The sequence below is a fragment of the Homo sapiens genome, chromosome 1 (genome assembly GCF_000001405.40).
Source record: "Homo sapiens chromosome 1, GRCh38.p14 Primary Assembly".
Taxonomy (NCBI): Eukaryota; Metazoa; Chordata; class Mammalia; order Primates; family Hominidae; genus Homo; species Homo sapiens.
The window spans coordinates 237668831-237685208 of record NC_000001.11 but is presented as its reverse complement, the minus strand read 5'-3'; the positions used below and the strand labels follow the sequence as shown (position 1 = coordinate 237685208).

The 16378-nt window shown below is 38.7% G+C and overlaps 1 protein-coding gene across 17 annotated transcripts in view; it reads right to left on the bottom strand.

Moving 5' to 3' along the window:
- The window catches only part of RYR2 (ryanodine receptor 2), a 791805-nt gene that overhangs the window by 148780 nt on the left and 626647 nt on the right, over positions 1 to 16378 (bottom strand). For 11 of the 17 annotated variants that reach the window (XR_007062490.1, XM_006711802.4, XM_006711804.4 and 8 more), the window contains 4 exons: positions 10990 to 11113; positions 10363 to 10478; positions 7097 to 7161; positions 4632 to 4753 (listed from right to left, as the gene is read on the bottom strand). Coding sequence is in view for 16 of the 17 variants with exons in the window: in XM_006711802.4 (XP_006711865.1) it covers positions 4632 to 4753; positions 7097 to 7161; positions 10363 to 10478; positions 10990 to 11113 (427 nt within the window). In the remaining variant the exon portion in view is untranslated. The remainder of the gene's footprint in view (positions 1 to 4631; positions 4754 to 7096; positions 7162 to 10362; positions 10479 to 10989; positions 11114 to 16378) is intronic. The other 6 variants (XM_006711808.4, XM_047427333.1, XM_047427336.1 and 3 more) reach the window with 1 other exon arrangement.

Below are 16378 nucleotides of genomic sequence, written 5' to 3'. Positions count from 1 at the left end.
TTCTCTAAAAAATATTTTCTATAATACTGTTGTCCCCTTTCTCTGCTTCCCCTCATTTCCAACATTCTCCAGAATTTATAAGGCATCTACTTCTTCAGCATTTACTCATTGTCTTGTACTAAAACACTCCTTTGCAGCTCACCAATGCCCCTAATGAGCAAAGATAATAACCTTTTCTTTTTTGGAGTTCTGTCAACAGTACTTGGCATTGTTTATTACTTAAATCGTGAAACTCTTACCTTCCTTGGATTTTGTTTACAGTATTTTTTTTTTTCTCTCTAATTAACCATTCTTGATGTTCTTCAAAGACCTATTTCCAAAAACCCTGTAAATGTAATAATTCTCCAGGGTATTCAAAACCTTTTGCCTCTTTCTCTACTCTCCTTCAGTTTTATCTACTTCCTCGGAGCTTCAAGCATTATATATATATATATATGTGTTCAGATAATCCCCAAATATGTCATTTCTTGCTCTAATCTCTCAATTAACCCCACATGCTAATATTTCCAATCTGCTGGATTTCTCCAACTGAATGACCTGCGGGTACCTTATACTCCGATAAATACCTGACCAAATGTAACCTCTTCTTCGAAACGATTCTTTTTCTGAAATATGTTGTTTCTATTCATGATACCAACAATGTTCCAACTACCCAGAGTTGAAATTTCAGCACCAAGTTGGACCTTTTTCTACTTGCCATATTACTCATCGCCAAGTCATGTTGACTTTCTCTCTTCCCTGTTTCTCACCCCAGCTGCTGTTTACATCTCTTCTATATTCCCAGCACTCTGTAGATGTCTCCACTGACACTCATCACAACTTCCTGTAGAGTTAGCTCTATATGTACGTGTCTACTTGGCTGTAGTTCTAAATTTATTAAAGTTAGGAACTGTGTTATTGTGTGTGTGTGTGTTTATCTTCAGGCCTCAGACAGCTTGCCGTACATAGGTGGCATTCAGAAATATCTGAACGAGGCCGGGCACGGTGGTTCATGCTTGTAATCCCAGCACTTTGGGAGGCAGAAGTGGGCGGATCACCTGAGGTCAGGAGTTCAAGACCAGCCTGGCCAACATGGTGAAACCCTATCTCTACTAAAAATAATAAAAAAAAAAAATTAGCCGGGCATGGTGGTGGGTGCCTGTAATCCCAGCTACTCAGGAGGCTGAGGCAGGAGAATTGCTTGAACCTGGGAGGCGGAGGTTGCAGTGAGCCGAGATCATGCCACTGGACTCCAGCCTGGGCGACAGAGTGAGACTCTACCTCAAAAGAAGAAGAAGAAGAAAAAGACCCACCTGCTAAATGGATCAGTGGGCAGCACCACCTATTTGAGGCAGCACTTCCAACACTATAGCCTGGGTTGCTGTCTTGGCCTCCAGGTGCCTGCCATGGCCTCCCAACTCTCCCACTCTCATCAATCATACCTTTGCTGCCAGACTGTATTTCTCAGAGGGAAGCTCTGATCATTCTTTCACATAAAAAGCTTTAATAGCTTCTTAGTATTAATGAATTAGGTTAAAAAAATTGTGATAGAATTTTAAGAAGAAAATTCCTGATTCTGACAGTTAATATCCATTACCATCTATATAACCTACCTTTCCCCTAAATTACCAGCTTCTACATTTTATTTATGTAGTTATCTACATTTAGAAAATATGTTCCTTTGTTAATCTCTGACCTACAAGTTGTTCAAGATCAACTTTGACTGGCTTGATTTCCATAAATCTCTCGCCCCTCTATATCCACCCAAGGTGGTCTTACTTTACTTTGAATCCCATCTTACTGCCTGGCTTTCACTAGGGCTATACTCATATTCACGTATTTAGCTACTGCAAAGTATACTCCAGACACGACAGTACTGACCTTCGATACAGCAAATGCTCAGTATATAATAATTTCTTGTGCCAGGAAGTATCTAAACATCTCATGGAAACATTGGTTTTAATTGTGGAAAAGTTAACTCAAACCCACACAACTATTGCTACTCACGTCTGTTAAACACTTAAAACCATTATCATAGTGTTTATCATGCGAATGAAGACATGCTTATTTATTCATAGTGGCAGGGCCAGTTTTCTATCTATTGAGTTTATACCCTACCAATATTTTTCTATACATACAAATTAAGTTCCCTTTAAAAGTTAATACTATTTGAGCATATATTTTATATTTTATCATGATCATTTTCCGAAAGTATTATACTCATCTCCATCATAATGTTAATGACTGCACAGCATTTTGTACAGACATGCACCATCATTTATCATTTCCTTATTCATATTTTCCTCTATGATTTTCTTTCTCTCTGAGGTTAAATTCTAGCTATGTTTGGCACTAAAGTACTGTAATAACATAAGTTACTTTTATTATGCACCTCATTTTCTATGTGTTGGAATTTTAAATGGCACATGCTCCTTTTTTTGGGAAATACCAATGGGAGAAGTAAAATTTACCAACGCTTTTTCTATTAGTAGAAGAAAAACTGAAGATGAAATACAGTCATGCATCATTTAATGATGGGGATTCAGTCTGAGAAATACCTCATTAGGCAATTTCACTGTTATTCCCATAAGACCATGATATAAGTACATCATAGAATGTACTTACACAAACCTAAATGGTATAGCCTATTGCTCCAGGCTACATACTTGTGCAGCATGTTACTGTACCGAATACTGTAGGCAACTGTAACAAAATGGTATTTGTATATCTAAACATATCTAAAAAAATTAGTAAAAATATAGTATGGGGCCACTATCATACATGTGGTCCAAAATTAATTGAAATGTTGTTATGTGGTGCATGACTATAATTAAAGATATTCTGGTGCAGTGTCATTAGAGAGAGGGGTGGTCTAGGGTTAGTCTAGAGCCCCAAAGGGACATCAACTGAGGCTAGCACAAAATAGCGATGTACCTCTGATTTATTCTATGAGGGATACAGAATTGGCCAAGGTAAATGGGCCAATTTTCTTTTTTGGTGTATAGTTCCATGAAATTTTTCCAGCTTTATAGAGGTATAATTAACAAATACAGATCATATATACCCAAAACACACAATTGGATGCTTCGATATATGCATAGTATGGGCTCAGTGAATAGTTCTAAGGGTAAGGCTGAAACTGAATGGAGATAATAAAACACAAGACAGGAGAGGAGGAAAATAGCAGAATTTGCATTGATTTATTTGAATTTTTCTCTATTTTCTGATTTTATCTTTATGTAACTAAGTGATAGCTAGATTAACAACACCCTCTGAGAACAAAGTTCCTATTTAAAAAGGCTAACAGACCCAGGGAGGAGTAGGAGACTTCAACGTGTCCTCAATTTCACGACGTTTAAGGGTAACTTGGTGCCTTGAGATATTCTAGCTACTTGCGTGCACTCACAATCCACAGGGGGATACTGGCCCAGAGTACTGGATGTGGTGCTTATGAAATGATGAGGGAGGAGCTGCTCTCCCTCCCAGTGAAGGTGGGAAGGAAGGCCATGTTCAAGTGGGAAGGGGTGGAAATTCACATCTTGGAAAGTAACTGCATTGCCTCTCTCCATGTGGCAGCAATTTGTGGAAACAAAGCACGCCGCTGGGATGGATTCCTGCTGTTATTTTAACTATAATCAATTTTATAGGAAAATTATCATTTGAAGAAGTTTGAGGACATGTTTTATACTGTTGCAATCCCATATCACATGACTGGCCACTTGCTACTTGGTAAAATAGACAATAAGTGAAAGAGATGAACTGACAATTCCACTCCAGCTGCATTCCCCAGTGTTACGTAGTGCAGGAATCTTTCCACTTCTCCACCCTCTCACGGAGGCTGTATGCAATCTCATCTCACTCTGTCTAATAGGTGGAGACCGTACTGCCTTTCAGCACAGCATCGACGTCAAGTCCAAGGAAAGTCTGTATTTTCTCCAGTGTTCTGCTTTATACTGTGTATTCACTTTTATAGAAATTTTGTTCCGATACAATCTAAAAGCTTGGTATGGACTTTTGGGCAATGTAATATTAGAGAAGTAAACTTGCTCTGTAATTGATTCTCATGTATATTAAATTCTAGCAGAAGTTTGAGTAAAAGGACCTGATATCCCCAGCAGAATCACAACTGAGTCCATAAAGAACCCTTTGGTTTAAACAGAAATGAGAAAGCATTGTTAAGAGGGGAAAGCTTCAGAAATTTTATAGGTATCTTTACTTCATTTTCTTCCAACATTGGTCATTATTTTTAAATTAAATTTGTATATGTGGGGTTTTCTTCTGAACAATAAATGCTGGCAAAAATATCAGATTTGTGGAAACATTAAAGAAACTAATGTCAAAAGTACCATTTATCACAAATACTAATAGGGTGATGCATATCCGGCCTCTATGTGTAGATTGTGAAATGAGTGATATTTTATCCTTCTATCCACCATTACACTTAGCAGCAAAATATAAAGAAACTCAACATCTAGAACACATATCCAAACTTGTAGAAACTGTTTTTGTCTAGTATTTGTTTCCATGAAGACACGGACCAGGGAAATGGGCAGATACTCTCCGTACAGCCCCACTTCAAGGTCCTCAGGTTTTCTTTGCAACTGCATATACACCTAAGTCATACAACAGTGCTTATTTTTATAGCTGTTTACCTAGTCACCATTTCTTTCTCTTTGTTGGAAGCATGTCCTCCAGAGCAGAGAGGTCTGCTTGCTGCAGATAAGAAGTATAAACGATGGTTTTTGAAATACTGATCAATTAAAGGAAGAACGACCTGAAAGAAAGGAAAAGAAGACAGATCTACGTAGTGGAATCTTTCAGGGGATGAATGGGAGCTGAGGCTTTGGAGCAGTCAGAGTTCTGTTCACATGCAACAGGTCTCCTTATGTCCATGCCAGGCACGTCATAGTATGCCTCTCTTAAATCTCACTCTACCGTCTCCAGCCACAGTGGCAGGATGTGATTATGGTGAACAGAGCAAACTTGCAACAGTTTGGAATTATTCTCACTATTTTCTCAAAATGAAATATTCTCAATGTTTTCATATAACATAGTTCAGTGCCCAGCAGACCCCAAAATAATCCATAACTACCATATGTTGAGTCTCTACTATGTGTGAACATTGCAACTGATAATAGCAACTGCTCTGTAGGGTAGATGCCATCATCCCTGCATTATGGGTATTAAATGGAGACATAGAAATGTGTGACTTACCGAAGGTCACATTGCTACTTAGTTGCCTACACAATATTCTTTTAACCTGGCCTTTCTTAAAGTGCACTTTCCATTTCTACGCATGTTTCATCCTGCTGGCCTTGGGCCAATTCCTCCTCCTCACTCTGTCCACTCACATCACCTGGCCTCGTACACGCCATTCCCTCTGTCTGGCGTGCTCTTCCCATACTCCATATCCTATTCACTCTGGTCCTCCTGTAGATCTCAACTCAGTGGCAATTTGCCGGCTAAGTCTTTGCTGATCTCAACTAGATAAAGTCCCACATTCTGAGCTCTGATAACATCATTTGCAATTTTACATTGTATGCGTGGGACTTTGGATTAAAGTCTCTCTTTCCAGGAGCCTATGAGTTACACAAAAACAAGAAACATTTCTGGGTTTGTTTCCCATTATAGCCCTTTCCTGGCCTCCAGAACTATTAACTGGTCTCTTCTGTTTGTCACTGAATCCCTAGTGCTAAGGACTGTGACGGGCCCATAGCAAGAACAAGATCGGCACTACCAGTATTCAAACTCATGTCTATCTAAACATACTTCTTTTTCCTACCATGTGGTAGAGCACAGCTATATATAATGGGGACTACACCAGTTTTTATTGCTCTTCCTTGACAATTGGGACATTGCTTGAATTTAGTGACTGGAACATAGTAGGTACTCAATATGGTAAACGAATGAATTATAGACTTAGTAGAAATTAAGCCACATTAAGCATCTGTAAACAGATGCACCGGGGGTGCTGAGTATACGGGCAACACAAGAATGTATTTTAAAGGGAAAATTAGAGGCTGCGAATACAGCATTCTGATAATTGGCTATCAAGAAAGATTACAATCTCACAGAGACCGGAGATATATATATGGATCTATCAATTCATGAATCGCTAACTATGTGCACCCCAGGACAAACTTTGGATCTTCAAATGATTGGAACAGACTCTGAGTGCTATATTGAATGGGAAGAAAAGACAACAGAAATGTGTTTTACAGTAAAGAACACAATTTTGAAAACATACTACAAGTCAAATATTCATCAATCAAAAAGCATGCTATTTTAAAGTCCACAAAAGTTGTATTTATAGCAAATTATCTGTAATCGCTGAATGCAAGTACTTTAAAAGGAAGCAGACAGCAGTAATTAGGTCTTCAGGCTCACTGCAAGGTGTCCTAAACAAGAAAGCTTACCCAGGGGCATTTGTATATTCATGGCCATCCCTGGGCCATACCCTAATGCCTGACCCACACTAGACACACAGTAAATACTAAGTAAATGCATTAAATCATTCGGAGACTTTACAACTCTTCATGTCCATCCCTTTTTGGCTGAAAAAAGTGATGAATTTTCCAGTAATATAGCAAATTCCTGATAAATGCTTATGAAACAAAATAAATAATACCAATGGGATATATTTTGTATATAAACAATTTATCCTCTCTGATCTTCCATAAAATGAGCAGGACTAAGGTCCCACAATATTCTGTACTAAATGTTCTTATAATGTGCCTATTTATGAATTAACTCAGACTTTCCTATTTATAAAAGAAATTCTCAACTAGAAATTTTAAATCATAACAATATCCAAATGTTAAGAAATAGATATTTTTTATTCCATATCATATGATAAAACAAAAAAAATGCAGACCTAATTAAACCTCAGATAGAATGAAGTCATTTGAAGAAGGAATGCGGTAGGGAATGCAGAGTTAAAGTCTGACCAAGAATGCTGGGAAGATGATTCATGCAGTTATTTTCATGCCACAGAATATTTACGTGCAGTAAAATACACATTTGTAGACAAGTATGTTCTGAAAAGGGCAACGATCTAATGAGTAGGGTATGTAAACAAACATATTGAAGCAAAAACAAGATAGATTGTATACTGTACTTTTGCAAAGAACTTGATTTCTTGTTCATAAGGGAAATGTTCTCCTTTGCCTCTGCTGCCACCATCTGTAGATTTGAAGAGTTTTTAGGTAAATGCTGCACTGGAAACATTGCAAGATATTCATCCATAATGCAAAGGTTAGAAAGCATTGCTAAATGTATTATCCCGCTAAACTGAATGTAAAAAGCCAACCAAAAATATAAAGGCAAACTTTGGCAGTGTCATTAAAAATAAAAGGATGTTTAATACCCAAATCTAAATTTAAAAAGCTATTGAGGACAGCCCATAGTTGTGGTTAGAGACACAAACACATTTGTGTAGCTTTGAGATCTTATTGACATAGAGAGGGGAAAATGGAATAGAATAGAGTAAAAGTCCCACATTTTCAGTAGCCTTTAAGAAAAGAAGCTCACTGGGGAAGAGGACAGTGAGTGTAAATTGAATAAACATAATTGGCTAGATATTAACCCTGGCCTCTAATAATAAAGATTGCCTCTTCGTGTGACCGAAAGTTAAAGCTTCTCAATTTAAGACACAAACTAAAAAACTGCAGGAAGTCAGGATCTGGGATGAGGAGGAGGACAGCAATTTTAATATTAGGTTGGCAAATTAGCATTCCACTAAAGCATAAAGAAATTTTGACCTATGTCAAAAGATAATTTTCATAAGTGAAGCAAAAACACCCAAGTTTTCCCCATGGTTTACCAAGGTCAAGAATTGATTAACCTAATTCATTTAGCTTAGAAGGTGGCCTTTCTCACCTCCTTCATGCATATGGAAAAGGTTCATGCATATATTAATAGACGAGGTAATAATCAACTATAATAACAACGATGGCATGCAGAACATATTGGAGAGCTATCAGGTTTTAGTAAAATTTGTAAGCAGAGCTTCCAGATATTCAAGAGCCAAGCTGACTTTTGCTTGAAGAAGTTATTTTGCAAAATAATATAATAATAATAACTTGAGATAATAGTTTATCAAATTTTAGACAAAAATACAATATAATTTATAGGAAACTTATGCAATTATTTTGCAATATCAGAATGCTCTCCCCATGAACAAGTAAAAGAAAATTATGGTTTTTTAACACTTGCAAATTTCATTTGCATGGCACTTTGGCATTTGAATCTCTCTTAAGCACATTATGCAAAATGGCTGGATTCATATAAGAGACTTTCTCATATGAAGTTATGTCAAGAGAAAATTTTGAACACAGCCAAATCTGCTCATATTTCAATGAATTAAATAGGAAATGTCTTTTACTACATTTAAAAAAAATGCTTCTGTGCAAAATGTGAAAAAGATGTGGAGAGATTACAATCTACGGTATTATACAACAATTAGAAAAAGGCATATGCATATTTTTACTACCACAATTAACTTAGGTCTAGGAATGGCTACATTAGAGATATGCTGCAAAATCTCCAAAGTGAAGGATAAAGGGAGAAGGCAATATAGCAGTTTCACTTGCGATAACAATGAAAGATGGAAATTAAAATAAACACGATATTGACAATCACAGCTCTATCTGCTCCTCTAACAGAGTTCTTGTACCTAATTTGCCCTGGCCAAGCCATCTGAAAACGGTACACACAACATCAGGAGTTGTGAAAAAGGTTATTTGGCTGGGCTCTGTCATTGTAGCCTACTTTCTCTCCTGTGCTCTGTTTATAAGGCCCTCTACCCTGTGGATAGAATGAAATGTGTCAAGTGGGTAGATGTACCCTGGAGCAAGATTCTCCCCACCCCCATACAAGAAAACTGTAGTAGGTAGTTTATTCAGAAATTTGAATAAACTGTGAATAATACCTAAATACATTTCTTCCCTTCATATTGGTGTTTGTGTTCTCCAATGTGAAAGTAAAAAACAAATGACTTTCTTGTTCCTTTCTCCAAATGATGACTCTTTCTTTCTCTCCTGTCCCTTGTTTCTCCAAAAACAAGACTGGATATTGGAGTTGCTACGCATATCGGATCCTTTCAAATGTAGATCAGAAATTGCAATATTTAGCTTTGTGTGTAAAAGCTTCAATAATTCACCCCTACCTCATTTTTGTTCTTCGGTTAAATTTCATTAATTCAGATTAATTTGGCTACGTATCAGGATAAGTCAGGAATCATATTTTTAAAAATTGTTAGTTATATGAGTCATAGAGAGATTACAGATTATAAATTAGCTTGTAGTGTAAGCTTTTAAGAAAAAGAAGGGCTCAAAGAGAGCAATAATATAGTATTTGAACTGTAGAGGCAGGCTGAAAGAGAAGTCAATTGTTTATGAGAAAGATGCTCAATTGGAAAATCTTTAATCACATTTAGGATACAAGAGGCCAGAAAGAAGAAAATACCAGAGCTCTAATTTCTACAAACTTTAATCTGATGCTATGGCAGAAACTAGATTTACATCCTAAGACAAACAGCAGCTAAGGGATCCAAGATGAATGGTCCCAGAGGAAAGGTGTTGAATGACAAAAGGAGTGAGTGTTAAAAACAAAGAGAAAACGTCGAGAACGAAAATGAAAATAAATGAATAACCACCAGAAAAGCACACTATTTTCAAAAGGGAACAAACTGGAATTCCTTACATCGTATTACTACGCAGTGGCTGGAAGGTGCTCTGACATTAAGGTAAGAAATTAACAAGTCGAATTTTAATTCAACAATGTGGGAGGACCACAAAATAACAGAAGTGACCGGAGGCTGCTTTCATCATCTGTGCTGAATCTAAGACTTAAAGAATGAGGTTTTAAAAATTTTGAGACAGCACTGGGCCAGACGGGGAAGAGGTCTTTCATTGTACCCTAAGAGCAATAATAAAGTATTCTGCACAGCAGTTACTCTAGTATTAACGTGTTTCCCTGCAAAGGCTAAACTCAAGACCTCTATAGTGTTTAGAAATTTTGAAAATCCATAGTTTTGGAAGTTTTTCTTATGAGTAGAGCAACTGATTTCATAGGCGAGATTTAACTCTACCTTCAAATTCTGATGTCCTTCCAATGTATCTTTCAAAATGAAAACAAATAAATGCCAATAAACATTATAAGGGGAATAACTTATATGTTAGATTTTTAAAAGTTCACAGATTTTACCCACTCCCCAAGAACTTGTTCATCCATTGACCGTTGAACTCTACTTAGTAGTAGGATGAATAGATGGGTTTATACCATCACAAATAGCTCAGCAGCCTGTGTTGTTCTATATCCTGATGTTGTAAACATTAAAAACAACAAACACTGGGCTATTAGCAATGGGACTATGGTACCTACCAAACTCCAGGATATACTGATGGGCTTCATCCACATAGCGAATGAGTTGTTGGAGGAAACTATAGGCAAATCGTTTCTCAATAGAAGGCGTGTCCAGTTCCAGGTCCTTAAATCCTCTGGAAGAGCAAAAATGAAAATGGGAAAGCAATTTGTACAAAGCCTCTTAGAAGGTAAAATTGTGTGTGTGTATATATATATGTGTATATACATACATATATGTTTATCTATATATATAAATTTTGAAGTTTTTCTAATGTTATTGTAGCTCAAAGAAAAAGTAAGATTTAACCTATAAAGAATATTTTGCATATGATATAAAGCTTCAGTGAGTGACTCTCTTACTATGCAACGAAGTGTTGCATTTACAAAAACAGAGTGTGATTTTTTGCCTGGGGATTTTGCCTAAATGATGGATGCTGATTTAATATATGTAGCAAAAGGAACTCAGTTATATGGTACACAGCTAGGGGTGTTAATGTTTCTGATGTGTGTATTTTAAACATATTAAACAGTACCTCAAAAGTGTAAACAGATCATTGAATTCATTTTCAGCTTTAAATATGATGGAGATATTTAAATATTCACTCTTGTGAAAAGAGTGTGTACTTAGGGTATGTGTACTTTTACCTGGATACAGCATATCCATTGATCTGCAAGAACTTGAGGATGTCCTGTGCTTTTTCTCTATCCTTGGCTTTCTCTTTGGCTGTCAGTGTATCATAGGGCACCAGCAGAGGATGGTTTCCTCCTCCTAAGAGTATGTCAGGACAAGAACACAGCATAGTAATTTGAAAAGAATCTGAGATGAGACACAGATATATAATTGGACCACACTATAAAACTTTCCATATCCTTTAATAATACATAGAGCATATAAGACTCTTCTGCCTCTACTGCCTTTAATGTTTCAATTAATTCAGAAAAACTACTCACAGAAAGACTGTGCATATGCCTTCTAAGAGGCAGTTAAAACATGAACATGCATGCATTTGTAATACTAAGTGACAATAATATCTGCACTCGCCAATGAGAGGGAAGCAGCTGTATTCTCTTCTGCGTTCAAAGCAATTCTGAATGTGGAGAGTAGAAACAAATGCTAAATCATACTTAGCTGGATTTAGAAAAGTTATAAGGCATGTTTCAGGGGTTATGCTTCATCTGCTGTCGCACAGAGAGAAGAGAAAAAGTCTTAAATATGGAATTTGTATTATATCTCTCAGATCAGAGAGTACTTCATAGTCACATTATTTATAAATACACAAAACCATATGTAGATGTGCTACATTAAAAGTGGATCACTCTTAAGTGTCTAATACTTGACTTTAAACCACGTGGGCAAGTACATTTTAGCAAGAGTCTAGATTCCTAGTATACTTATCCTGATAATACTTACTAAAAGTAGTCTTTCTTTCAGATTTAAAAATTCTAGAAAATATGTAAATTTAAAAAAACTAATAGGGAGAAAAACCTTTCTAAAATTATAAATTATGTAAAAATTTTGGTTAAAATTTTGCAAAAATTATAAAAAAATTAAACTGTTAATTTCAGATGTAAAGATCTGATACAAAGAATGCTATTAAAACAGCAGCAAACCGAATAGCATGGTATGCCTCACATCTAACATTCGTAAAACATGTGTGGTAATATATATTGTGTGAGAGGCTCAACTACCCTGAAATACAACTGCTAAGGGAATTCCAGGAAGAATAATTGAGAATAAATATTGTTTGAATTGTAACAACATAACCCTATGAAATCAGTTTCCAATATAGTTTAGCCAGGAGCTACTGCAACAATCACAAATGTTGAATTAGCCCTACACAATAAATAAGCAAGCAAAGGAGGAAATGTCTGCTTCCCTAGTGCTGGCTTTGACTGAAAGCGCCATCTACAGACATGCAATCGCCCACTGAACTTTAATACCATTAGGTGACACTGTGCTATCATACATGGAAGGTGCTGGTCAAGAACTACCAAGCTAACAAATACTAACCATAATAAGGAATTCAGGTACTTCACAGTATATTAATAATATCAAGCACAAACAGTTGTCAGAAGACAATAATAACAAACACTTGTGAACAGCAGAGGGTATAGAATATGTTACTAAGTTTAGTAGAAACCAAATTTGACTTTTGTCCTAATCAAAGATATAATTAAACAGGACACTTTATAAGGATACTATAATTAACAACAATTTATTATATATTTTCAAATAGCTACAAGAGCAGTTTTTGAATGCTCCCAACACAAAGAAATATAAATGTTTGAGGTGATGGGTTGGCTAATTACCCTGATTTGATCATTACACATTGTATACATGTATGCAAATATCACACTGTACCTCATATAGACAATTATGTATCAGTTAAAAATAAAAGCAAAAATCTTTTTAAAATCAAGGATTGAATTCCATCACCCTAATTTAATCAACCATCACCTAGTTTGAACTCCATCACTGCATTTAGTCCCAGAGAATGCTATTAATTTGGCAACTTAATTTGTAATCAGTGATTTTGGGGCCGCATACCAATAAGTTACTGTGGGGGAAGTGGGGAGAGAAAGAGAAAGATGCTTTAAAGAGGTCTATAATTTAAAAATCCTAAGAATGCAAAGTACCCACTAACTCTGAAACTCTTCTCACCCTCTTCGACCTTCATTGAACTAGATGGCGAAGGGATCTGAAAGCCTGCCAGGTGACTGAACTAGCACTGTGCCTCTAACTAGCAGTGTGACCGTGGACATTTACGTTGCTCCTCCACCCTCAACTTTCCCATTTATGATATGGGTGTAGACATCTTGTGCTGAAGGAAATCAGCTACATGGAGAGGTAAATGAGTGAGCAGTAACTCTGAGGATATTACCAAACATACCAGCACGGACTCATGAACCCATTCATACTAAACAGTAAAAAAATGCTTGACAGCAGTGGGCTGTCTGTGGCTTAACAACAGATGACCATGGTACAAAATACTTGAAGTGGCAGTGGGAAAATAACATTTTTTACTAATTTGGGGGCACTAATCATACTTTTTGGACTTACACTCCTTTATTTCTATTAACTCCTTATGGCATCTGATTTTCCCTCAGACTTTTCTAGATTCCAAAAGAGCACTGAGGATCAGATGACTAAGGCAAGCAAAGGAGGCATTTTTCTCCTGATTTCCCTAAAGCAGATTCATCTTCTCTGCACAGATGCAGGGATGATAAAAGAGAAGAGAATGGGTGAAAACAAAACTGTGCAGCTTTGGCCCTGATTCTTTTAGTGTTTCTGACTTCTTATTTCTATTTCTCTCTCTCTCACACGCACACACACACACACACACGCACACACACACACACACCCAGGCACCAAGACATCAGGTGGTGACAGATTCCTCCCACCTACCTCTTATCGGCAGTGGGAGTAGAGCTGGCAGGATGCAACTGCCTACAACTGTTGGCTATAAGGATCCTCCCCACTATTAATGTCTCTGAGTGAGAAAACAACTTTGAAAAAAAGACACATGTCGTTTCTGCTCTGAAACTGGCCACAGTCTGTAACCTATCTTCTATGCCCAAGACTCATTTCTCTGGTTTGCTAATCTCAATAACCTAAAAGCCAGGATCCTGACTGTATAGTTCAACACGTTTCCTACTGGTCTGCCATTTTGGTTCTAAACTAGTTCCTCTTTAAAAATGAGATCCATACATGCAGTAAGAGAATTAAAGACTGCGAGGACTAATTTCCCCTACCTCACCACTTAGTCTGCTGCCACTAGGTTAGTTTCCCAACTACAGAATACAAATTTGAGCCAGTACAAGTTGTATGCAGAAGTATGGATGTGCCATTTACGAGTGGTATGACTTAAAGAAAATATCGATCTGGCTCAGAAATTTAAATAATGATGATTTTCTATCATGCTTATTTAGAAAAGCATATAGGTTGAATAGGTCTAATCTAAAAATCTGAAATCCAAATGTTCCAAAATCAGAAACTTTTTGAGTATCTACATGATGCTCAAAGGAAACACTTATTGGAGCATTTAAGCTTTTGGATTTGGGATTTGGGATGCTGAACCAGTAAGTATATGCAAATATTTAAAAAATCAGAAAAAAATCTCAACTTTCAAACAGTTTTGGTTCCAAACATTTTGGATAAGGGATAATCAACCTGTAATAAGATAGCTGCTTATTATTTTTAATTTAACTGTACCACAGTGACTTAAACATAGTTTAAAAAAAGGAACAGACATTTTTTCATGTAATCTGCTCATGTAATAAGCAGTGATTTTGTTTACCAGTTATGTGGGCAATACCCTGTCAAGAATTTCACAAAACAAAACTCTATGACTCATTTGCCATCCATCCATTCATCCATGCATCCATGAGCCAAACAATGAATTAATCATTCATTTAACAAACATTTATGGGGTGGTTTTAGAATACAGGCATATTATCCCTGAGCAGCATTTTGAAATAGGCAATTAAAAATGTGGAATCTTCTCCCTCTCCCTCTCCCTCTCCCGTCTCCCTCTCCCTCTCCCTCTCCCTCTCCAGTCTCCCTCTCCCCACAGTCTCCCTCTCCCCACGGTCTCCCTCTGATGCCGAGCCGAAGCTGGACTGTACAGCTGCCATCTCGGCTCACTGCAACCTCCCTGCCTGATTCTCCTGCCTCAGCCTGCCGAGTGCCTGCGATTGCAGGCGCGCGCCGCCACGCCTGACTGGTTTTCGTATTTTTTTGGTGGAGACGGGGTTTCGCTGTGTTGGCCAGGCCGGTCTCCAGCCCCTAACCGCAAGTGATCCGCCAGCCTCGGCCTCTGGAGGTGCCAGGATTGCAGACGGAGTCTCGTTCACTCAGTGCTCAATGGTGCCCAGGCTGGAGTGCAGTGGCGTGATCTCGGCTCGCTACAACCTCCACCTCCCAGCCGCCTGCCTTGGCCTCCCAAAATGCCGAGATTGCAGCCTCTGCCCGGCCGCCACCCCGTCTGGGAAGTGAGGAGCGTCTCTGCCTGGCCGCCCATCATCTGGGATGTGAGGAGCCCCTCTGCCTGGCTGCCCAGTCTGGAAAGTGAGGAGCGTCTCTGCCCGGCCGCCATCCCATCTAGGAAGTGAGGAGCGCCTCTTCCCAGCCGCCATCACATCTAGGAAGTGAGGAGCGTCTCTGCCCGGCCGCCCATCCTCTGAGATGTGGGGACCGCCTCTGCCCTGCCGCCCCGTCTGGGATGTGAGGAGCGTCTCTGCCCGGCCGCCCCGTCTGAGAAGTGAGGAGACCCTCTGCCTGGCAACTGCCCCGTCTGAGAAGTGAGGAGCCCCTCCGCCCGGCAGCCGCCCCGTGCGGGAGGGAGGTGGGGGGGGTCAGCCCCCCGCCCGGCCAGCCGCCCCGTCCGGGAGGTGAGGGGCGCCTCTGCCCGGCCGCCCCTACTGGGAAGTGAGGAGCCCCTCTGCCAGGCCACCACCCCGTCTGGGAGGTGTACCCAACAGCTCATTGAGAACGGGCCATGATGACAATGGCGGTTTTGTGGAATAGAGAGGGGGGAAAGGTGGGGAAAAGATTGAGAAATCAGATGGTTGCCGTGTCTGTGTAGAAAGAAGTATACATGGGAGACTTTTCATTTTGTTCTGTACTAAGAAAAATTCTTCTGCCTTGGGATCCTGTTGATCTGTGACCTTACCCCCAACCCTGTGCTCTCTGAAACATGTATTGTGTCCACTCAGGGTTAAATGGATTAAGGACGGTGCAAGATGTGCTTTGTTAAACAGATGCTTGAAGGCAGCATGCTCGTTAAGAGTCATCACCACTCCCTAATCTCAAGTACCCAGGGACACAAACACTGCGGAAGGCCGCAGGGTCCTCTGCCTAGGAAAACCAGAGACCTTTGTTCACTTGTTTATCTGCTGACCTTCCCTCCACTATTGTCCTATGACCCTGCCAAATCCCCCTCTGCGAGAAACACCCAAGAATGATCAATAAAAAATAAAAAAAATAAAAAATAAAATGTGGAATCTTCTCTTTTCCTCTCTGTGACCAATCCTA